At 37.1% G+C, this 25,161-nt stretch overlaps 1 protein-coding gene across 12 annotated transcripts in view; it reads right to left on the bottom strand.

The window, feature by feature from the left end:
• Window positions 1-25,161, bottom strand: part of STXBP4 (syntaxin binding protein 4) — a 244,509-nt gene that overhangs the window by 89,453 nt on the left and 129,895 nt on the right. For 2 of the 12 annotated variants that reach the window (XM_047435715.1, XM_047435713.1), the window contains one exon: window positions 22,045-23,924. The exons of 8 other annotated variants lie outside the window; for them this stretch is intronic. In XM_047435715.1, coding sequence (XP_047291671.1) covers window positions 23,890-23,924 — 35 coding nt within the window. In that variant the 3' untranslated portion in view covers window positions 22,045-23,889. Of the gene's footprint in view, window positions 1-22,044; window positions 23,925-25,161 lie in introns of those variants that run through there. 2 more of the 12 variants (XM_047435717.1, NM_001398483.1) reach the window with 1 other exon arrangement.

Below are 25,161 nucleotides of genomic sequence, written 5' to 3'. Positions count from 1 at the left end.
TCAAGCGATTCTCCTGCCTCAGCCTACCAAGTAGCTGGGACTATAGGCGCGGGCCACCATGCTTGGCTAATTTTTTGTATTTTTAGTAGAGACGGGGTTTCACTGTCTTAGCCAGGATGGTCTCGATCTCCTGACCTTATGATCTGCCCGCCTCAGCCTCCCAAAGTGCTGGGATTACAGGCATGAGCCACCGCACCTGGCCCATCCTATTCTATTTGTCGTTGTTGTTGCTCATTGCTGCTTGCTGTTGCAGTCAGATATAGTCCATTATTGTAACGTTAGAACACAATATTTAATTTCTACATTGCAACTCTTTTATCTCTTCTCTTCGTCTGGCAGCACTTAGTAAAGAAACCTATATAACAAGAAGCTAGGAAATATGAGAATTATCTCTCATTTGACCAGTGATAGTAATTTCTGATTAATTCAGGAAAAAAACCTGCATGCAATTATAAATAGTCCATTTTTATTTCGACATATTGATTTGGTTTAATTGATGCAGTCCATCATACCAAGTAAGCCAGACACCAATTCTGCTACCTCTTCCCTTAAATTTTCCCCTTTATTGAATTATCTTAACAAGTTACTGGACACACACACACAAAAGCTGCTATGTTTAGGGATCCTGATATGAAAAGTACTTTGGCAAGAACTTATCTAACTACTAGGTTAGATCTTGGGGTTCTCTGGGCAAATCAAGTTTTGAGATTAAAATTTGAGCATACTTTTCTTCTTAAAATTGTGTGTCTGCTTTAACTGATGACAAAAAAGGAGAGGGATAACACATTTACAAGGAATATAAACTCCCATAAATGTGAATAAAACAAAGGAGGAATTAGCAAAATCTCTAAAAGATTTTCTAATTAAAAAATTTGGTTTTCTACTTTTAAGTACACTTTGATTTGAGATAATGTTCTTTAAGGATATATTTTAATGACTGGATAAAATACTTGTAACTCAAAACTTTATTTATAAAAGAGTGCTTCAAAAGCACTTAAAAGTTTCTTCTTTTACTTTAATCCCCTTATAATTTTAATATTTTAATCTGCTTTGGAAGTCATCCATTAGCACACATAGACACATATCTCAATATGTAAGTTGACAATCTAAACTTTTGAGTGCTTCTTGTTATAATTTTTATAAATTCAAACTAGATGGAATTTAAATGGACTGCTTTCTATTAATTATAAAATTAACTGCATGGAGTAAAATCTGAATTCATTTTTAAATATAGCCATATCTGATATAAAGTAAACATAAAATGTTCCAACTCAACTTTTTGCTTTTGCCAGTGTAGACCACATTCCTTCATTTATCTCTGCATTTGTACAATATAGACTCCATTCCTTCATTTATCTCTTCCTAGAGTTACTCTTTCTTTTCATCTGCCTTGTGAGCTTCTGCTCATCAATCTAGAATCAGCTTAGATGATACTTCCTCTGTGCATACTCTCCTAATTTCTTTGGCTGACTTCATCTTCCCCTCCTCTATGGTACTTCTGTGGTTTGTACCAGTTTCTATCACAGCACTTAACATTCTCCTGTGGAAAACATGATTGTGGACAATGACTATGTTTTATCCATCTTTGTGTCATTTTCTGGTACACAGCTCAGGCTTTGGTGCATAATAAACGTTTAACAACGGTTTGTTGAGGATTTATGTCCCAAGAAGTAAGACATCTTCAACATTTTTTAAAAAGCAATATTGTCTGGAGGGATTTAGAAAAAAATGTGGCATATTAGTTAGGAATGATTTCTGGTAAAAATGACAGATAACCCAAGTAGCTGGGAAAACAAATAGGTATTTATTTTTAAGGAGCCTAAAGGTTGCTAGACACAGCATGAAGGTCTCAGGTTTTTTCATCTTTCTACTCTAGTATCCTTTAGGTGTTAAGTGGCTGATCCCTACACATTTCGTCTTGGGGGCGTAAAAAGCCCCCAGTGCTATAGGCAACATATTCGTATTGAAGGCAGGAAAGAACAAGAGGTGGTCCCAGCTCCATCTGTCCTTATCCATTAATTAAAAGTTTCCCCAAGCAGAAGTTTCTAAGCAGACTTTACTTTATAACTCATTGACCAGAACTGGGGTGGGTGGCCACTCTGTGAGGCAGGCTACCCCTGAGAGGGCAACTGTCTGACTTTACAGTTTCTAATACAACAGGCTGGCTAGGGCAAAACACCAAGTCTGCCATAGATTACAAAAACAAAAACAAAAAGACAACAGAAGAGTGGATTAAGGTTAATTAAGATATTAAGGTTACCAGGTTTGTTGAAATAAGTATGTCAGAGACCCTGGGGATTCTAGGGTATCAGCACAATTGGGTACATAGTTAATAATTCACAGAGATATTTTCTCAAGATTGTGGTTGCTCATAATGACATAATGAGATGTTTCAATCTTGCATCTCATCTCTCTCTCAGTGTGTTTTTCAATTATGACAGTTTTCCTTTATCTCCCATTCACCCCAACCTCACTTTGGTTCCATCACTGCCATTCAAAATTTCTCAGAGTCAAACATTAAATGTTTCATTCTCTATAAATGCTTTCTTGATTTTAAAATATTTTTTCTCATTTATCTGAGCTATTAGCTCTTTGTACCATTCATAAAATACTTAATATCTTAAACTTTGCATTACAATAGTTTTCACAACTCTTTTACTCCTCTCTTCCCACAGACTGCTAGCTCTTTGAGGGTACTGAATCTTCCTCAGTCATACTAGGTTCTGAAAAATTATTTTCCGAATTGAATATTTAATTCATTTCATTTGCTTAGTGTTAGAAGGAAGGAAATGGGAGGAAAAACCAGCATGTATAAACACAGGGCCACTGCTAGCCTATGTTTATGTTGCAAAAACTAAAGAAAAAAATTCCATCATGTGTTGAAAATGGCACCACTTCTGTGTGCAAGGGCTAGAACATAGTGCCTCCTTTGAGCTGATGCAACTCTGAGGGCATGGAACTTGTAGGGCTAATGTTCCTTCTGTGCAAATTACTTAAAAAAAAAACACTCTTTCTTCTAGGAAACACAGTCCTGTACCAGAGCATCCAGTTGAGTGAACACAGCAAGGGCTGGATTTCAGTCTCCAATGCACTCCCTTGACCTCTGCTTATTGCACAAAATACTCAATGCTCTGCAGCAGCCATTTAGAAAAGATTTCAGAAGTTCCATTTTTACCCAGTATGTCTACAAGTATTTTGTGATTTCTCCAGGCTCTGTTTGTAATGATGGTAAACTTGGAGCTTCATATTTTTGAATGGGTCTAATTGTCCAAGATACTTGCTCACAATTGAGCCAAAATTTGTCTTCCTATTTTTCCTATCTGATGACCTCAGACTTCTGATGCTAGATATAATAATCATGTCTCAAAGCAGTGTACATATCTCTGGCAGGAAGCTGCCTCCTAAGCAACACATAATAGAATGGAATGTAATTATTTATAGGTAGGTACTACCAACACTGTATTTGGTTATCCAACATTTGTGTGAACGTGATGTGGGCTCACTTGCCATCCCATACGGCTCACTGACAATTTGACTATTAAATATGGAATTTTAATTTGAAAACATTATTGATAAAAAACAAATGCTTGCAGCTAAATGTATAGAACAATAAAGACTGACATTTAAAAGGTAGCAGTATTAAAAATCACTCTTTCTCATGTCCTCTAAGCATCTTGGGAAAGGCTTGAAATTAAGTTTAAAGAGGATTTCAGAAAATAAGGGAAGAACACCTTTAACTTATAATATTTTCTACTTGAGAAGTACACTTTAGTAACCTTAACTGTGGCTATATGTTAACAATAAAGGTGGGATTATAATGATTTTATGTGATGTGTCATCAAATACATTTTAAAACGTTTTCTGTATAATTAAAGCAAAGAAATACAAAGGCTAGCTATAGAAACACAATATGCATATGGTTAGAAAATTCAAAATATCCAAAGACTCATTTTTTTGTTTGAGGTATTTAAATATCAGAAGCATGAAAGGAAAGGAATTAACTAATATTGTAAGATTTCATTTATTCAATGATAACTTATTAATACATTTTGGTAAAGAACATAAACTGAGTTAAAGTTTATCTGTATTAGATACAGTAGAAGATTTACTGTCAGTGTCATATGCTTATGGATATATTTTTATTTTATATACTTATATATTTTTAAATCAAAACACATAAATATATATTCATTTTCCAATCTTTTTTAGGTCAAAGTCTTGTCTTTGTTGACTGACTTCTGATTAGTGTTCTGTATTGTTCTTCTAGTTCTAGGGTTCTTGTATTGTTCAGAAATCATACTAAAAATATATCAGCTCTCATTTCCAGATGGGGTTTCTTTAAAGTGGATTGAGAATTAAGAATGGTTATAAAATAATCCAAGGGCAGAATCCTTCTAGACTTCTATAATTTTCTCCCAATCTTTCACAGATGACTCCTTTACAATCCATCAGTAGTATTAACTCACCATTATCAGATCTCTCTAAAGCATTCTACTTAGTTTTTGTAGAAACAACTTTTTCTTTGCATATTCATATAACTAATTTATAATAAGCACAAATGGCACCAATCCTTTTGAAAATAAAAATGATATTTTTTAACTGGTAGCAGTTTAAGTCCATGGTAGTACCAGGGAGAGGCTTCTTAGGCACAAGCCCATGGGCATCAATGTGCTTTATAGCGAGAATGGATGAGTTGGCTAATCTGGCAAGTGGGTTAAAAATAGAGATCAGTTAGGAGATATACCTAATGTAAATGACGAGTTAATGGGTGCAGCACACCAACATGGCACATGTATACGTATGTAACAAACCTATACATTGTGCACATGTAACCTAGAACTTAAAGTATAATAAAATATTTATATATATATATATATAAATCAGTTAATACAGCTTCCACTTTTTGGAGAAAGTGGTTCTAAAAAATACTAATGGTGATGGAGTCTTTTATAATTTATTGAGAAAATTTTAAAAAATTACTATCAGGACAGTTACTTAACTACTGAAAAGCACATGTATTTAAAGCCATTTTTCTTGGTTTCTATAATAGTACATTTGCCTAATTTTCCTTCTATCTTTCTGAACACTCCTTTTTAGTCCAGTTTCTTCTTTCAATAGACCTCTAAAGGTTCCTAGTGTTAAGTCTTGGATCCTCTTTATTTCCCTACATGTACTTTCCTCCTAGGTGATCTCACCACTTTCATAGCTTTAAAAACCATATATATGCTAAAGATTCTTACATTTATTTCTCCATCCCAGCCCTTTCTTTTGACTCCAGACTGGTATAGACAACTTGCCAATAACATCTTGACTTAAATGTTTCACAGGCAACTTATACTTAATTTTTTCCAAAGTTAAGTTTTAATTTATTTCTCAAAAGCTGATCCTGTCTGCAATCCTCCTCGTTATAATAAGTAAATCTGTTCTGGCCTCCTTTCATTTCTTTGAGTAGGCAGCTCTTTGCTTCAGTCTGGAATGCTTTCTCCTTAACTCATTAGATGGTTGGCTCCTACTCATCTTTCAAATCTTAACTTAAATCTTACTATGAAGACAGACTTTTCTTGTCCTTCCTCCATTTCTATCAGAGCAACATGTTCACTACAGTCACAGCACTTCCTCAGTTTGAAATTATATATATATTGATTTTCCTGTTTATTGTTTGCTTTTCCAACTTAAATCATAAGCTCTATAAAGGTAGGGATCATGTCTGTTTCATCCATCCTTGCATACTATGGGCCTAGCAAAATGCGTGACATATCATAGGCCCTCAAAAATGTTTGCTGAATAAATAAGTAGTGTTTTAGTTTTGCTCTTTAGAACACTTACCACTATATGTAATTACATCAGTAAGCTTTCAAAAAAATGTCCAGTTATTCCCTAAAAAGCATATGTTCCAGGAAGACTGTGTCTGTTTTATTCCTCATTCAATACAGTGTCTGACACACAGGTACTCAATCAATATCTGTTGGTGAAAGGAAGGGAGTAGAAGTGATGATACGACTGATGGAGAGAACAGAACCTAAAGGAGACTGTTTTACACTAATGCTCTGAGACTATGGCAACAATTCAAATAAATGCTAAAAACATTCTGTCCATCATTCAGTTGTTTTGCCCACATAATGTAAACATCTGTACCTTTAGAAATAGCTAGATCAGTTTTTCACTTGTAAAGCAGATGTTCAGTTATTTTAGATACAGCTGAAATTATTGTTTTTTTTTTTCGATTAGTGCAGCAAATTTGGGTAGACTTATGTTTCTTAAAGACATGTAACTTTAAATGAGAGCTGTGCTATTTAGTCAAAGTCAGGGTGTTGGGAAGCCTTGATCATGTGATGTGTATTCAGTCAAATGACCTGGAATTGATCCAGTTTCCTAACAGTAACATTATGGTACAATGGTTGCCTAAGACCTTCGGTCATCATCGAAACCTGAATGGGCTACAGAAAAAAAAATTTTACAACTAATCTTTTACACTATTGGCTGAGAGAAGAGGAAAGGCTGAAATCTGTCACATCACTTAACATGTAATAGAAATGGACAGCTGTTCTCTTTCCATAGCTTCAATACCCGTTACAAAATGAGATCATATGGTAGACTGTAATAGCAGGAAAGACTCTTCTAAGAGACAATAGATTAAAAAAATTGCTTAGTAAAATGTCAGAGTCACAGTTTTTGCCTACCAAGAATTTCAAGATTACATCAGACACAAATAAGAAATTCACGTACACACAAAAGCATATTATTATTTTTAAAAAAACTTAAGAGTAAATCTTTAAATATTTACCTCCTGAGAAATTTCCTTCTAGAAAGATTCTTAATTATGCTTATCTTATTAACTCATCTGCAGTATTATAGCACTATGTACTTGTTTTTCATTAATAAAAGGTTCATTAAAAACTTTACACAGATAGTGCCTCTATGTAGCTGACTCATTTTATTATTAGTGGTAGGTGTGCAGAGAAGGAATACATTGTTTTTCTACAGGAAATACTACAGAGATTTGAAATCTAGGTCACATAACAGAGCCCTGCTATAACAGGAGAGCACAAAGGCCCAAAGTTTTTTTGGCTTCCACTCAAATAAGATAATCGTGTTTTAACAAAACTTAACAATTGCCTCCTTTGCAATTGCATTTGTTTAACTTATATGACAGTTATAACTGCATATAATTATCCTTTTTGATCTCTTCACAGTCTTAACACGTTACAGTTATATATAAGGAAGTTTACATTCAGTGTGTGCTAAGGGTAACCACTAGACAGAAAGCCAGATACTAAAATTTGTGCTTCTGTGAAATCTTTAATCTGGAAATCCCAAACTGTTTTAAATACCAATTAAGTGTCTGTAGCATCATTGGGCAGTAGTAGAGTTACAATGGGGAAATTTGGCATGTCACATGGCAAGTCAGCAACTAAATAGAAGAGATGCCTGGTACATTCTAAAACATTTGCTTGCCTTTGTAGTTTTCTGAATGTGATATTATGGTAAATATATATCTATGTGTTGTGATTTAGGCACTAATGGTATACAGAAATAACACAAACACCAAAAACATATTTCGATGATAAAACATTTAAGTTACATTCCCAAATGCAAACATGCTCCATAGCAATGATTTGAGTACATCTATCAGGTCTTTGGGAAGTGGCGATATTTCCTTTGAGTATTAAAAATATATGTTTATAAATGTGTATGTTTCATTAAGCTTTTCAGTTCTTGAGACATAAGTAGCTCAGATATTTCAGTTAAAATGGAAGCAATCAAATAAGGCACCGCTCCCTAGAGTTTGTCTTTACACCTATACTGGGTTACCAAGTCTTAAACCAAACTACAACCTCCTCAACAATTCAGAAAAGAATTGGAAGGTAAAGTCTTACTCTGTCATTTCCAACCATGGTTAAACCTAGAACATAAATCATGTCTGATTAGTCAAATTTAGTTCAGCTTTGAATCCTGAATTGTACATTTGAAAAATAACCCTAGATGCTGGAGGATGACATTGCTGTATCATAACAAATGTTCCTATTATTCAGGTCTGCATTCCTTTGCATTTGCCTTAAAATTTAAGTTTCAGATTCATTACTGGAAGAGTTTCGCTGAGGAATTATTACTTTAAACTGTGATTGGGTTACAGATTAAAATATGCAAGTAAACTTTTTGCAGTAATTGTATCACTGCATTTTATTAAAGAGAAAACAAACAAAGGTTTACTCCAAAGAATAAAAAAGAGGGTATAGTTAAAAATTCAGAAAATATATGAACAAAATCTGCACTTCTATTTGGGAAGCATTAAATAATTACACACTCTTTAGAAGAAAACTTAAGATGAGCTAAGGCAAGTTGTTACACAAATGCAACCATACTCTTAGTCAACCCTGAACAAATGAAAACATACAAAGAACTATAAGACTGATTAGATTAGAAACAGGTGAGCTTTTTCTCTAAATCTACAGAAAGCCATATTCTATACTGATATATTTTTCCTATCTTTGGATTAAAAAAAGAGCTAGGTGGTTTTAGAACTATGATCATGTGTTGCACTTATATTTTTTAAAGTCAACGTGCTTCCTAAGGAAGTCTTTGGAGGTTGATTTACTGCAAGATACTTAGAAAAACCTACAGTGGTCTGTTTCCTTCAGTTAATGTCAATTCGCCATTTACTCAAGCAATAAAACAATAGCATTTTACGTTTTAATAACTCTCCAAGCCAAAGTACGTCAATACACTTCACAGAACCTTATCGGCACCTTATCAATAAAGAGAGATCCATTTTTGAATAACAACTTACATTACAATATTAGGACAGGGCAAAAACATTTTCAATAAAGGATATGGTTAACAAAAAACTTGCTCACAAAGAAAGGATACTATATGTACTTCAATTATTTTTTTCTGAGCTCCAATTCAGGAGAGTAATTGCAAGAGTACCAAAACATCTGAAATCAAGGTTGGCTCTGGGAGATATGAGAACTGTGATTGTCATACCCAAAGGGCCCATTGTGTTCAATGGGAAGAACTTAGGGCTTCTTTTTGTTTTCAATCATGAAGCTAAGAGGGAAGGTATTCTATCTTTTATGACCATGTTCAGCCTTGATGCTACTTGACAATGACTTTAACCAAAAGGCTAACAAGATGATCTTCCTTCCCACCCCTTTATTAAAGATACTTAAATGTTAAGCCTTTTCTGAAATAAACAAAAGAAGAAACTGTTTTCCATAGGAATTTTGATTACTTAAACAGTTAACAGTTAGGCTAGATTTAGAAACTTCTGTCATCATAGTCTGCACATAGCACACACAGTTGTAATGTTGTGCCCTAAGGGACATATTACTGTTAACAGCCCATCCAGTCATTTGATTATCACTGTATGGTAAATGGCTTTCTGGGATAATAACTGTGATACAGCCAATCACATGCTTTACTTAGTTTATTATCCTGTTTTCTTTTAGAACAGATCCAGGCCATATTTGACTTAAATATGAGGGCATACTGCAATGCAACTTTAAGGCCATTATAGACAAGTATAATTCTCAATTGGGTTCCTCAGTTTCTCATATTAGTTCAGTTTCCAGGAGTAAGGTTGGCTTCCAACCCAGATTATATTTGTAAACAATATTTGCAAATAAATAAAAATGACAGAACTACAGGACATCAAGAGAATGACAGATAAAATGATAAAAGAGGTAGGAAGCCTTCCAAATGAGTGCCAATTAAGGGAAAAAACAGAATAAATAAGATTGGAAAGGTGGAAAGAGTATAGGATCAATTCTGTTTTGGATACTGGATACTAGAATGAATAAGCTTATAAAAAATCAGTTGTTCTTCTATTTCATAGGTGAGGAAAATGAGGTACAGAGAAGTTAAGAAAGTCGCAAAGATTATGTTGATTGTAGGAGGCAGAGGTAGGATTTGAACACGGGTAATATCGTTCTTGAGCCCATGCTGTTAGCCACTATATGCTGCTTCTTTCATTATGCAAAAAACAAAAAACACCAAAAAAACCCAAACCCAAACAAACAAACAACACACAAAAGTGTTAGCAAGTTAGAAAAGGACTAAAAGTAATTAGGCCAAAATGTAAATGACGATTGCCTCTCCATGGTGGGTTATGAGCAGTTTTTCCGGCTTATTCATTCTTTCCAGGTCTTTTCAAAATAACAAAAATAAAGTTTAACACTTTTTTTTTATATCAGCAGAAAATAAAATAAAAATATTGCTGGCCTAACTAACATTTTCCCTCTTATGATAGCACTTCTCAATTTAGCAAAACTATGCATACAGTTAAACCACACTTCGATGACAGCTATCAGAGCACATCTCACTAGAAAGTCACAGAAATCTGGGCATAAGCAGGAATTTGTCCAAATCAAGTAACTTTTAACATATGTTACAGGATCAGTATAGATTCAGTGGAATTTCCCATACCTTTTTTCTTTTAATTCATTTTTATTGTATGTATTTAAAGTGTACAACATGATGTTTTGGTATACAAATACATGGTGAAATGATTACTACAAGTAAGCAAATTAATATAGCCATCACCTTCTATAGCTACCTCGTGTGTGTGTGTGTGTGTGTGTGTGTGTGTGTGTGTGTGTGTGTGGTAAGAGCACCTAAAATCTACTCTCCTAGCAAATTTTCAATATACAATATCCTATACCATTTTTCTTAATCCTGTATCTTTTAAACTGCAGTGTTACATAACCAATATTTATGAAATGACCAAGAGGTCCTAAGAGGTACTGAAATGCCATATGAATCATAAAAGAAAGATTAAATTGACATTCAAAATGGTGTTCGAGTAAATTGTATTTGTGCCCTCACCAATCTACTGAAATTTCTCTTCTAAAAGTCACAAATGTTTACGATTTCAGCCAATCCTTTTTTCACATGTTGTCCCCTTGTTATCAGCATTTATCACTCCTTCTTTGAAATTCCCTTCTCCATGAGTTTCCTCTCTTCCCAGTCATCTACTCTTCATTTGCTCCCATCGTCCTGACTGCTCCTCATCTGGCCCCTCTTCCTCCTCTGAACTGTCCCAAATGAGTTCTCCTCCCACTCCTGTTATATACTTTCTCTACAATATTAGGGTTTCAACCATCAAGACTACATGAAGAATCCCCTAAACAACATCTTCAAATACTGACCTTTCTCCCAATCTCTTTCTAGATGTCAACTGGCATCTCTTGATGTCTAATATGGAACTTCCCCCACCCTAACCTCCCAGATCTGTCCTTCCTGCTGACTCCTTGATTTTTAATGGTTCTACCAACCTCCAATAATCCAGGATCAAAAATCCAGTGTCATTTTTACTCTTCATCATTGTTTCTCTTGTCAATTATTGTCTAGTTTTATATAACCTACCTCTGCAATATTATTCATTTAGTTGTTAAATACTTATTGAATAACTACTGTAGTAAATTCTGAGGCTATAGCAGTAAGACAAGTGAGGACCTTGCCTTCCTGAAGCTTATATTCTAGTGAGAAGACATAATTTCAGGTGGCCAATAAGTCCTATTAGAAAAATAAGATCAAGAATGAGTGGTAGTGATGATGGAGTTGATCAGAGAAAGCCTCTGCAACATTAAAGCAGAGACCTGTGGCTGGGCATGGTGGCTCATGCCTATAATACCAGCACTTTGTGAGACAGAGGTGGGAGGATCACTTAAGGCCAGGAGTTTGAGACCAGCCTGGGCAACACAGCAAGACCCCATCGCTTTAAAAAAAAAAGAGTAAAATTAGCTGGGTGTGGTGTTGTGCACCTATAGTCCTAGTTATCTGGGAGGCTATAGTGGGACAATAGCCTGAGCCCAGGAGTTCGAAACTGCAGTGAGCTATGACTGTGCTATTGCACTGCAGCCTGGGTGACAGAGTTAGATCATCTCTAAGAAACAAACAAACAAACAAACAAACAAACAAACAAACCCTGAATAAAATGAAAGCGTGAGTCTTGTGAAGGTCTGAAGGAATACCATTCCAGGCAGGTGGAACAGTGTATTAGGCTATTCTTGTGTTGCTATAAAGGAATACCTGAGGCTGGGAAATTTATAATAAAGAAAAAAGTTTAATTGGCTCATGATTCTGTAGGCTATACAAACATGGCACCAGCATCTGCTTGGCTTCTGGGGAGGCCTCAGGGAGCTTTTACTTATGGCAGAAGGCAAAGCAGGAGCAGGTATGTCACACAGCCAGCCCATGAATAAGGTTGGGGGAGGTGCTGCACACTTTTAAACAACCAGATCTCTTGTGAACTCAGGTACTCTCATGAGGACAGCACCAACGGGATGGCGTTAACCCATTCAGGAGGAATCCACTCTCATGATCCAATCACCTCCCACCAGGCCCCACCTCCAACATTGGGGATTACATTTCAACATGAGATCTGGGGGGACAAATATCCAAACTATATCAAATATCAAATGCAAAGGTCTTGAGGTAGTTTGACATGTTTAAAGAACTACAAAAACACTAATATGACTGGTATATAGTCAGCAGGGGAAGAGTGGTAGAAAATGAGGTTAGACAGCTAGTTAGGGCCAAAAAGGAAGGTCTTCATAAGGAATGGTAAAGAGTTTGGATCTTACTCTAAGTGTAATTGGAAATGATTGGAGAGTTTTGACCAGGGGAGTGACATGGTCTAATTTATGTATTGAAGGCTACTAGAGAATAGACTGTAGGGAAATCTGGAAGTAGGGTGACAAGTTAGGAAGTTACTGTGCCATTTTCCTTCCTCTTCACTATTCTAGTTTAAGCTCCCATTACCTGCATCTATACCAGTGTTAAAGCTTCCCTATTCACACTGCTGCTCCCCCTTCTTTACCTTACACCCTAGTGCTAGCCAGGCAACGTTTCCTGAAGTACAGTTATGAGTCTACTCATTTCTTGCTGAAAGTCCATCACTGGCTCTTTACTGTCTACTAAAAACAATCTCCAGAACATTTTGCTATGTATTTAAGACAGTCTATAACCAAGTCCTGACTTATTTACCATTACTTTTAAAAATATTATTTATGTGCTAGGCTAGGACTTGAAAAAACTATAGCCATGGGCCAAATCTGGACTGCCGCCTATTCTTAGAATCAAAGTTTTATTGGAACACTACACCTTTGTTTACTTATTATCTATGGCTGCTTTCATGCTACAATGGCAGAGTTGAATAGTTACAACAGAGAAAATACGGCTACAAGGCCTAAAATAGTTACTACTTGGTTCTTTACAGAAAAAAAGTTTACAGAATTCAGCTGTCAGCAAACTAACTTTCCTTATTGTTCATATATCCCCCACCTCAGTTGTTAGCCTCTGTCATTTACATTATCCCTTCCATCTGGAATGTAATTCCCTGAATTCCTCCTCCCACTTCCACAAGCACACATTCTATCTATCCTCCAAGGCCCATCCCCTCCCCAAGACGTCTTCCTCCTAACTCTCTGTGATAGGCAGAATAATAGCCCTCCACGATGATGTCCACATCCTAAGCCATGGAAACTATGACTATTTTATGTAACATGGCAAAGGAAAATTAAGGTTGTAGATAGTTGCTAGTCAGTTGACTTAAGAATAGATTATCCATGTTGGTGCAACATAATCATAAGGGTCCTTCAAAGTGGCAGCTAGTGGTAGAAGAAGAGTCAGTGTCAGAGTGATGTGATATGAGAAGGGCTTGACTGACCACTGCTAGCTTTTAAGATGGAAAAGCCATGAGTCAAGTAATGTGGGCAGCCTCTGGAAGCTAGAAAAGGCAAGAAAATGGAGTATTTCCTAGAGCCTTCAGAAGAGAATGCAGCTTTGCTGACACCTTGGTTTTAGTCCAATGAAACATATTTTGAACTTCTGACTTCTAGAACTATAAGATAATACATTTGTATTGTTTTAAGACATTGACAGCTGGGTGCAGTGGCTCACACCTGTAATCCCAGCACTTTGAGAGGCCAAGACTGGTGGATTGCTTGAGGCCAGGAGTTCAAAACCAGCCTGGCCAACATGGTGAAACCTCTTCTCTACTAAAAATACACAAAATTAGCCAGCCATGGTGGTGACGGCCTGTAATCCTGTAATCCCAGCTACTCAGGAGGCTAAGGCAGGAGAATTGCTTGAACCCAGGAGGTGGAGGTTGCAGTGAGCTGAGATTGTGCCACTGCACTCCAGCCTGGGCAACAAGAGTGAAACTCCATATAAAAAAAAAAAAAAAAAAAAAAAGACATTGAGTTTGTGGCCATTTGGTACAGCAGCAATAGGAAACTAATGGACTATCCTTTAGGTTCCATAACCACTTTGAACTCTTCTGGGGCCTTACCATGTTCAGTTTATATTATACTTATATAGAAGTTTTAATTCTCATTGTAAATGGATAGATCCTTGAAGTCAGGGTGTGTATCTGATTCATCTTTGTATCTACTATCATACCAATCATAGTGCCTTGTACACAGCAATAAATCAATAAATATTAATAATTAATATTAATGAATACTTGACATTTTTTGAAAATTTGTAATGTATATATGGCATATATGATAGACAACCAGAATAGTCAAATAACCTGAATAGTCCTTTGCTCAACTATTCTGAAAAAGTGAGTTTATTTTAAAAATCAATATCTCAAAAGTGTTAATAAAATTTAAAAGACGAATAATAGTCTTAGGCAATACACATGGTAATTAAGCATTTTTCAATTCACTTTTAAAAAATGAAGGTTTCAAATCAACAAGCATGTAATTTCCTAATTCATAAATAATTACATTATGAATTGAAATACCTTTATTTGCATTAGTTTAGATTAAAATAATACTATCAATCTGAAATCGACAGTAAAAGCAATGGGGGATGTATTTTTGTCAACTTTCTACTGATAGGTTATGTAAATAAAGCCAAATTTTGGGGGCATTTTATTATCAGTAATGTCCAACAGGGCAATTAGGAATGAATTAAAACATGTATAAAGAATTCACAACTGATGGCTGGCAAGATGGCCGAATAGGAACAGCTCTGGTCTGCAGCTCCCAGCGAGATCAATGCAGAAGGCAGGTGATTTCTGCATTTCCAACTGAGGTACCCAGCTTATCTCATTGGGACTGGCTAGACAGTGGGTGCAGCCCATGGAGGGTGAGCAGAAGCAGGGTGGGTGGTCGCCTTACCCAGGAAGTGCAAGGGGTCAGGGAACTCCCTCCCCTATCCAAGGAAAGCCACGAGGGACTGTGCCGTGAGGAACGGTGCATTCCAGCCCAGATACTATGCTTTTCCCACAGTCTTCGCAACCCACAGACCAGGAGATTACCTCAGGTGCCTACATCACGAGGGTCCAGGGTTTCAAGCACAAAACTGGGCAGCCATTTGGGCAGACACTGAGCTAGTTGCAGGAGTTTTTTTTCACACCCCAATGGCAGCTGGAACACCAGTGAGACAGAACTGTTCACTCCCCTGGAAAGGGAGCTGAAGCCAGGGAGCCAAGGGGTCTAGCTCAGTGGATCCCACTCCCACGGAGCCCAGCAAGCTAAGATCCATTGGCTTGAAATTCTTGCTGCCAGCCCAGCAGTCTGAAGTTGACCTGGGATGCTGGAGCTTGCTGGGGGAGGGGCGTCCACCATTACTGAGGCTTGAGTAGGTGGTTTTCCCCTCAGAGTGTAAACAAAGCTGCCAGGAAGTTCGAACTGGCACAGGTGGGCAAAGCCACTGTAGCCAGACTGCCTCTCTGGATTCCTCCTCTCTGGGCAGGGCATCTCTGAAAGAAAGGCAGCAGCCCCAGTCAGGGGCTTATAGATAAAACTCCCATCTCCCTGGGACACAGCACCTGGGGGAAGGGACTGCTGTGGCCACAGCTTCAGCAGACTTAAATGTTCCTGCCTGCTGGCTCTGAAGAGCGCAGCGGATCTCCCAGCACAGCGCTTGAGCTCTACTAAGGGACATACTGCATCCTCAAGCGGATCCCTGACCTCTGTGCTTCCTGACAGGGAGACACCTCCTGGAAGGGGTCAACAGACACCTCATACAGGAGAGCTCCTGCTGGCATCTGGCAGGTACCCCTCTGGGACAAAGCTTCCAGGGAAGGAACAGGCAGCAATCTTTGTTGTTCTGCAGCCTCCGCTGGTGATACCCAGGCAAATAGGGTCTGGAGTGGACCTCCAGCAAATCCTAGCAGACCTGCAGCACAGGGGCCTGACTGTTAGAAGGAAAACTAACGAACAGAAAGGAATAGCATCAACACCAACAAAAAGGATATCCATACAGAAACCCCAACCAAAGGTCACCAACATCAAACGAAGACGTGGAAAAACCAGTGCAAAAAGGCTGAAAATTCCAAAAACCAGAATGCTTCTTATCCTCCAAAGGATCACAACTCCTCACCAGCAAGGGAACAAAACTGGATGGAGAATGAGTTTGATGAATTGACAGAAGTAGGCTTCAGAAGGTGGGTAATAACAAACTCCTTTGAGCTAAAGGAGCATGTTGTAACCTAATACAAGGAAGCTAAGAACCTTGAAAAAAGGTTAGAGGAATTGCTAACTAGAATAACCAGTTGAGAGAAGAACATAAATGACCTGATGGAGCTGAAAAACACAGCACGAGAACTTCATGAAGCATACATGAGTATCGATAGCCAAATCGATAAAGCGGAAGAAAGGATATCAGAGATTGAAGATCAACTTAATGAAATAAAGCATGATGACAAGATTAGAGAAGAAAGAATGAAAAGGAATGAAGAAAGCCTCCAAGAAATATGGGACTATGTAAAAAGACCAAACCTATGTTTGATTGGTGTACCTGAAAGTGACAGGGAGAATGGAACCAAGTTGGAAAATACTCTTCAGGATATTATCCAGGAGAACTTCCCCAACCTAGCAAGACAGGACAACATTCAAATTCAGGAAATACAGAGAACACCACAAAGATACTCCTCAAGAAGAGCAACCCCAAGACACATAATTGTCAGATTCACCAAGGTTGAAATGAAGGAAACAATGTTAAGGGCAGCCAGAGAGAAAAGGTCAGGTAACCCACAAAGCGAAGCCCATCAGACTACAAGCCAGAAGAGAGTGGGGACCAATATTCAACATGCTTAAAGAAAAGAATTTTCAACCCAGAATTTCATATCCAGCCAAACTAAGCATCATAAGTGAAGAAGAAATAAAATCCTTTACAGACAAGCAAATGCTGAGAGGTTTTGTCACTACCAGGCCTGCCTTACAAGAGCTCTTGAAGGAAGCACTAAATATGGAAAAGAAAAATCGGTACCAGCCACTGCAAAAACATACCAAATTGTAAAGACCATTGACACTATGAAGAAACTGCATCAACTAACAGGCTAAATAACCAGCTAGCATCATAATGACAAGATCAAATTCAAACATAACAATATTAACCTTAAATGTAAACAGGCTAAATGCCCAATTAAAAGACAAAGGTGGGCAAATTGGATAAAGAGTCAAGATCCATTAGTGTGCTGCATTCAGGAGACCCATATCAAGTGCAAAGACACACATAGGCTCAAAATAAAGGGATGGAGGAATATTTACCAAGCAAATGGAAAGTAAAAAAAAAAAAAGCAGGGGTTGCAATCCTAGTCTCTGATAAAACAGACTTTAAACTAACAAATATCAAAAAAGACAAAGAAGGGCATTATATAATGGTAAAGGGATCAATGCAACAAGAAGAGCTAACTATCCTAAATATATATGCACCCAATACAGGAGCACCCAGACTCATAAAGCAAGTTCTTAGAGACCTACAAAGAGACTTAGACTCCCACACAATAACAGTGGGAGACTTTAACATCCCACTCTCAATATCAGAAGATCAATAAGACAGAAAATTCAGAAGGATATTCAGGACTTGAACTCAGCTCTGGACTAAGCAGACCTAACAGACATCTACAGAACTCTCCACCCCAAATCAACAGAATATACATTATTCTCGGCAACACATTGCACTTATTCTAAAATGGACCACATAAACAGAAGTAAAACACTCCTCAGCAAATGCAAAAGAATGTAAATCATAACAAACAGTCTCTCAGACCACAGTGCAATCAAATTAGAACTCAGGATTAAGAGGCCAGGTGCGGTGGCTCATGCCTGTAATCCCAGCACTTTGGGAGGCCAAGGCTGGTGGGTAACGGGGTCCGGAGATCGAGATCATCCGGGCTAACACAGTGAAACCCCGTCTCTACTAAAAATACAAAAAAAAAAAAATATTAGCTGGGTGTGGTGGCGGGTGCCTGTCGTCCCAGCTACTTGGGAGGCTGAGGCAGGAGAATGGTGTATGAACCCGGAAGGCAGAGCTTGCAGTGAGCTGAGATTGCGCCACTGCACTCCAGCCTGGGCGACAGAGTGAGACTCCATCTCAAAAAAAAAAAAAAAAAGAAAAGAAAGAACTCAGGATTAAGAAATTCACTTGAAATTGCACAACTACATGGAAGCTGAACAACCTGCCCCTGGATGACTACTGGGTAAATAATGAAATTAAGGCAGAAATAAATACGTTATTTGAAACCAATGACAACAAAGACAAAACGTACCAGAATCTCTAGGACATAGCTAAAGCAGTGTTTAGAGGAAAATTTATAGCACTAAATGCCCACAGGAGAAAGCAGGAAAGATCTAAAATTGACACTCTAACATCACAATTAAAAGAACTAGAGAAGCAAGAGCAAACAAATTCAAAATCTAGCAGAAGACAAGAAATAACTAAGATCAGAGCAGAACTGAAGGAGATAGAGACACGAAAAACCCTTCAAAAAATCAACGAATCCAGGAGCTGTTTTTTTGAGAAGATTAACAAAATAGATAGACCACTAGCCAGACTAATAAAGAAGAGAGAAGAATCAAATAGACACAACAAAAAATGATAAAGGGGATACCATCACTGATCCCACATAAATACAAACTACCATGAGAGAATACTATAAACACCTCTACGCATATAAACTAGAAAATCTAGAAGAAATGGATAAATTCCTGGACATGTACACCCTTCCAAGTCTAAACCAGGAAGAAGTTGAATCCCTGAGTAAACCAATAACAAGTTCTGAAATTGAGGCAGTAATTAACAGCCTACCAACCAAAAAAAGCCCAGAACCAGACAGATTCACAGCCAAATTCTACCAGAGGTACAAAGAGGAGCTGGTACCATTCCTTCTGAAACTTTCCCAAACAAAAGAAAAAGAGGGACTCCTCCCTAACTCATTTTATGAGGCCAGCATCATCCTGATACCAAAACCTGGCAAAGACACAACAACAACAAAAAAATTTAAGGCCAATATCCCTGATGAACGACAATGCAAAAATCCTCAATAAAATATTAGCAAACCGGATCCAGCAGCACATCAAAAAGCTTATCCACCACGATAAAGTCAGCTTCATCCCTGGGATGCAAGGCTGGTTCAACATACACAAATCAATAAATGTAATCCATCACATAAACAGAATCAATGACAAAAACCACATGATTATCTCCATAGATAGAGAAAAGGCCTTCCATAAAATTCAACACCCATTCATGCTAAAAACTCCCAATAAACTAGGTATTGATGGATCATATCTCAAAATCATAAAAGCTATTTATGACAGACCCACAGCCAATATCATACTGAATGGGCAAAAGCTGGAAGCATTTCCTTTGAAAACTGGCACAAGACAAGGATGCCGTCTCTCACCACCCCATTCAACATAATATTGGAAATTCTGGCTAGGAAAATCAGGCAAGAGAAAGAAATAAAGGGTATTCGAATAGGAATAGAGGAAGTCAAATTGTCTCTGTTTGCAAATGACATGATTGTATATTTAGAAAACCCCACTGTCTCAGCCAAAAAATCTCCTCAAGCTGATAAGCAACTTCAGCAGTCTCAGGATACAAAATCAATGTGCAAAAATCACAAGCATTCCTATACACCAATAATAGACAAACAGAGAGCTGCAACGTAAGTGAAGTCCCATTCACAATTGCTACAAAGAGAATAAAATACCTAAGACTACAACTTACAATGGAGGTGAAGGGCCTGTTCAAGGAAAACTACAAACTGCTCAAGGAAATTAGAGGACACAAACAAATGGAAAAACATTCCATGCTCATGGATAGGAGAATCAATACTGTGAAAATGGCCATACTGCACAAAGTAACTTATAGATTCAATGCTATCCCCATCAAGCTACCATTGACTTTCTTCACAGAATTAGAAAAAAACTACTTTAAATTTCATATGGAACCAAAAAAGAGCCCATACAGCCAAGACAATCCTAAGCAAAAAAAAAACAAAACTGGAGGCATCATGCTACCTGACTTCAAACTATACTACAAGGCCACAGTAACCAAAACAGCATAATACTGGTACCAAAAGAGATATATAGACCAATGGAACAGAACAGAGGTCTCAAAAATAATGCTATACACTACAACCATCTGATTTTTGACAAACCTGACAAAAACAAGCAATGGAGAAAGGATTCCCTATTTAATAAACGGTGTTGGGAAAACTGGCTAGCCATATGTAGAAAACTGAAACTGGATCCCTTCCTTACACCTTATACAAAAATTAATTCAAGATGGATTAAAGACTTAAATATAAGACATAAAATCATAAAAATCCTAGAAGAAAACCTAGACAATACCATTCAGGACAAGGGAATGGGCAAAGACTTCATGACTAAAACACCAAAAACAATGGCAACAAAAGCCAAAATTGACAAATGGAATCTAATTAAACTAAAGAGCTTCTGCACAGCAAAAGAAACTATCATCAGAGTGAACAGACAACCTGCAGAATGGGAGAACATTTTTCCAATCTATCCATCTGATGAAGGGCATTTAATACCCAGAATCTACAAAGAACTTAAACAAATTTACAAGAAAAAAACAAACAACCCCATCAAAAAGTGGGCAAAGGATATGAACAGGCACTTCTCAAAGGAAGACATTTATGCGGTCAAAAAACATATGAAAAAAAGCTCATCACCACTGGTCATTAGAGAAATGCAAATCAAAACCACAATGAGATACCATCTCACGCCAGTTAGAATGGCAATCATTAAAAAGTCAGGAAACAACAGATGCTGGAGAGGATATGAAGAAATAGGAACACTTTTACACTGTTGGTGGGAGTGTAAATTGGGTCAACTATTGTGGAAGACAGTGTGCCTATTCCTGAAGGATCTAGAACCAGAAATATCATTTGACCCAGCAATCCCATTACTGCGTATATACCCAAAGGATTATAAATCATTCTACTATAAAGACACATATACACATATGTTTACTGCAGCACTGTTCACAATAGCAAAGACTTGGAACCAATCGAAATGCCCATCAATGATAGACTGGATAAAGAAAATATCGCACATATACACCATGGAATACTATGCAGCCATAAAAAAAGATGAGTTCATGCCCTTTGCTGAGACATGGATGAAGCTGGAAACCATCATTCTCAGCAAACTAACACAGGAACAGAAAACCAAACACTGCATGTTCTCACTTATAAGTGGGAGTTAAACAACGAGAACACATGGACACAGGGAGGGAAACATCACACACTAGGGCCTGTCTTGGGGTGGAGGGCTGGGGGAGGGATAGCATTAGGAGAAATACCTAATGTAGATAACGGGTTGATGGCTGCAGCAAACCACCATGGCATGTGTATACCCATGTAACAACACTGCAAATTCTGTACATGTATCCCAGAGCTTAAAGTATAAAAAAAAAAAAATGAGAGTTCACAAATTGCTAGTAACGAGATACAATGTACCAGGCATTCAACAGGAATAAATAATGCTAAAACTGTTTTCATCATGGGTGTACAAAGAAGGAAGCTAAAAATAAATGAAGAAAAAGATAAAGGCATTTCATTTTCAATTATTGTCGTTATAAAAACATTTGTACTTTTATGTGATGCAAAGATAGAGAACACAGACATAACAAATGAGTCCATTATGTCAGTATCATTTGGAATCAGACAAGCTTTTGGCATTTACTAACTCTGAACATGTCTCAAACAAAACTATATACAACTCTGTAGATCGAGAAAAAATAAAGAGAACTATGAAGTAATCAGAATTCACATTAGGTTTTTAAAGCTCCTTTTATTTACAAAAGCAGTTCACTCATGTCTGTATTCTCATGGTTCATTCATGCTTCCTTGTACATAAATAAATATCATGTATGCTTTTTCATTCCCAAAAGTCTAAGAAGGAAATGTGCTACAGCAAAGGGTGAATTTCCCTCTTTCTTATTGAATGCATGGATGAGATAACTTAATGAGGAATTCATTCATTAATCATTGAGTATCAACTATGTGTCAAGCACCATGATAGGTACTAGAAGTGTTAAGCTGAATGAGACAACATCAGATGGTAAGGAGGGAGAGCTATTTCTCTCAGGAAGATTCATAGTGGTATTTCTAATACAACAGCTGCTGTTTGGTTCTGGAGGCTGGTGTCTTAATTAAGATGGTAAAAAATCACCCTTCTAATTCCCCCAAATTTCTTTTGATTAGATAGAAAAGTGTCAAAGGGGTAGGGAGGGTGTTTATCTCTCATAAGGAGTCTGAAGAGTGCCTAAAAGCCCTAAGAATGTAATTTGTATCCCTTATTCCAACAGAAGAATATTTTTTATTCCAGGAAAAATTCTAGCCTTGCCACTGTGAAGGTCATTTTCCCACTGGGAAGACAGAGGCAAATGGCAATAGTTTATGGTGTTAATTTATATTGTGGTGTAACAAACTACCACACATATAGCAGCATAAACAATACATGTATATTATCTCATGGTTTCTGTAGGACAGGAGTCTGGACATGGCTTAGCTGAGTCCTCTGCTTAGGATCTCATAAGGCTTCAATCTACAGGTTGAGCATGGCTGTGGTCTCATCTGAGGCTTGACTGGGGAGCACTGAAGGATTCATCCGGAGACTGTCCTCAGCTCCTTGTCATGAGTCTCCTAACATAGCAGCTCATGTCTTTGAAGCCAGTAAAGAGTGCAAGATTCCAGCAAAATTGGCACTAAAATCTCATGCAATATAGTCATGTACAACCTGTGACTTTGCTGTATTGTATAGTTACAAGCAAATCACAGGTCTCAAACATACTCCAAGGGAGAGGATCACACAAAGGCATGAACATCAGGAAACAGGAATCATGGAAACCACCCAAAGAGTCTGTCCAACACAACACTTAGACTCTTCCCCTTTATATTACCTTTAAAAACCAAGTCTTCTACTTTGTCATTACTGCTTTAAATGTAGTTCTTCTCACCTTTATTTTTCAAAGTTTAAGTTAATCCTGGCCTTAACTTCCCTAACACTATGTGTAAAAGTTTTTGTTAGTTCTAGGTTGTTTCTTTGTCCATCTTTTGTATATTTGTTTAAACATGTAAGTTCATCAAAGAATTCTGTGAAGCTTCCCTTGATTTACTTGAGTACTTTCACGCTTTTTCCTTATTGAGGCTATAAGTAATTGTACACGGTAGTGTTAACCTTTTAGGATTTCTTACCCTACAAGCTACGTTCCCATCCACAGTCTCTAAACATGATAATAAATTCATTTTAGCCAAGTTTAAAACAAAACAAGACAAAACAAAACTGTGCCCATGGAGTCTGTAATATATATCCAGATATGTACATAATTAAACAATCACACCCTCTTTAGTATCTTTTGGTAGAAATACAATTCCAGCAGATAATAAAATAGTTGCAGTGCTTCAGTATTGCAACAGGTTGGCAGGCACTAATGATCCACTTTCAGAAGGCATCATTCATGCTCCTTTTATGCCTGGGCTGGTTGAGGTTCACTCTAATGGTTTTACTTTAGTTTCTCCCTTTTTTCATCTCTCATGCTCATTATGGTGTATCATCCTCACTCATAGTCATGACTTTCTGTACAGGAAACTTTGTCTGTAGTCTTATTCCCCTTCTATAAGGTGTGTTGCTCTGAAAAAAAGGTATAATCTTCGACAGAAATATTTTAATCAGAAAGTCTCAGCAGATGGTACGTGGTACCTACTTAGGATCTATATACACAAGAGTTGATTCTGTTCTTCCTCCAAGTTTTACCTACTTCAATACCGAGCTTCAGCTGCTTGCTTTGTACTAAAGGACATTAGCAAAGCTGGCCTATGTTCTTAGTGCCTGATAAATTGTATTCAACAAATATTTGTGGAAAGAATAGACTATTTGAGATCTATTTGTACATGCAAGTAGGTAGAGTCATGCACTGTATAACCATGTTTCAGTCAATGACAGACCACATTTGTAGCAGTGATCCCATAGGATAATAATACTGTATTTTTGCTGTACCTTTCCCATGTTTAGATACACAAATACTTAGCATTATGTTATAATTGCATACAGTATTCAGTACAGTTTCTGCTATACATACTTGAAGCCTAGGATCAATAGGCTATATGCCATATAGCCTAAGTAGATAGTAGGCTATACCACCTAGGTTTGTTTGAATACAATATGATATTTGCACAATGATGACATTGCCTAATGATGTATTCTCAGAATATATCCTTGTCATTAACCAATACATCATTATAATCTTTATATTTATGCATATAAATGGGTATTTCTGTATAGACTTCGGAAGTGAAACTGAAGCGTCAAAAAATGTACATTTAGATTCCTAGAGACACAGTTAGACTGCGCTCCAAAAAAGCTGAATCGAGTAAACAACTATTAACAGTGTATGAGTATGCTGGTTTCCTCACATATTTACTAACACTATAGATGACCAATCATTGTTAATATATGGCACTCTGGTGAATAAAAATGGTGCCTCATTGTTTTAAGTTCATTCCTAAGTAAATGAAATTAAAATATATATATTCAACATTCATCTGTTAAATATTAAATGTGCTTACTAAACAGATATTAAGCACAATAAAAAATATGAGTGTCTCTTGAATATGTGCCAGGTACCAGGCACTGTTCTAGGTGTTAGCTAATTGTGGTAAAGAAGACGTTCAAGATCACTGTTCTCAAGAAGCTTACATTTTACTAAAGGAGGTAGAAAATAAACAAGTAAACAAACAAAAAATAAAGTGCTGTGAAGAGAATAAAACAGGGGAGTGAAATAGAGTACTGGAGGTGGAGAGAAGGTCAACATTAGACAGGTGATTAGGTAAGGCCTTTCTGATAGTAGGCAATTAAACTGAGGGCTTAACGACAGAATGAACTGGAC

Source organism: Homo sapiens, chromosome 17 (assembly GCF_000001405.40).
Source record: "Homo sapiens chromosome 17, GRCh38.p14 Primary Assembly".
Classification (NCBI taxonomy): domain Eukaryota; kingdom Metazoa; phylum Chordata; class Mammalia; order Primates; family Hominidae; genus Homo; species Homo sapiens.
This window is presented reverse-complemented; position numbering and strand designations above follow the sequence as displayed.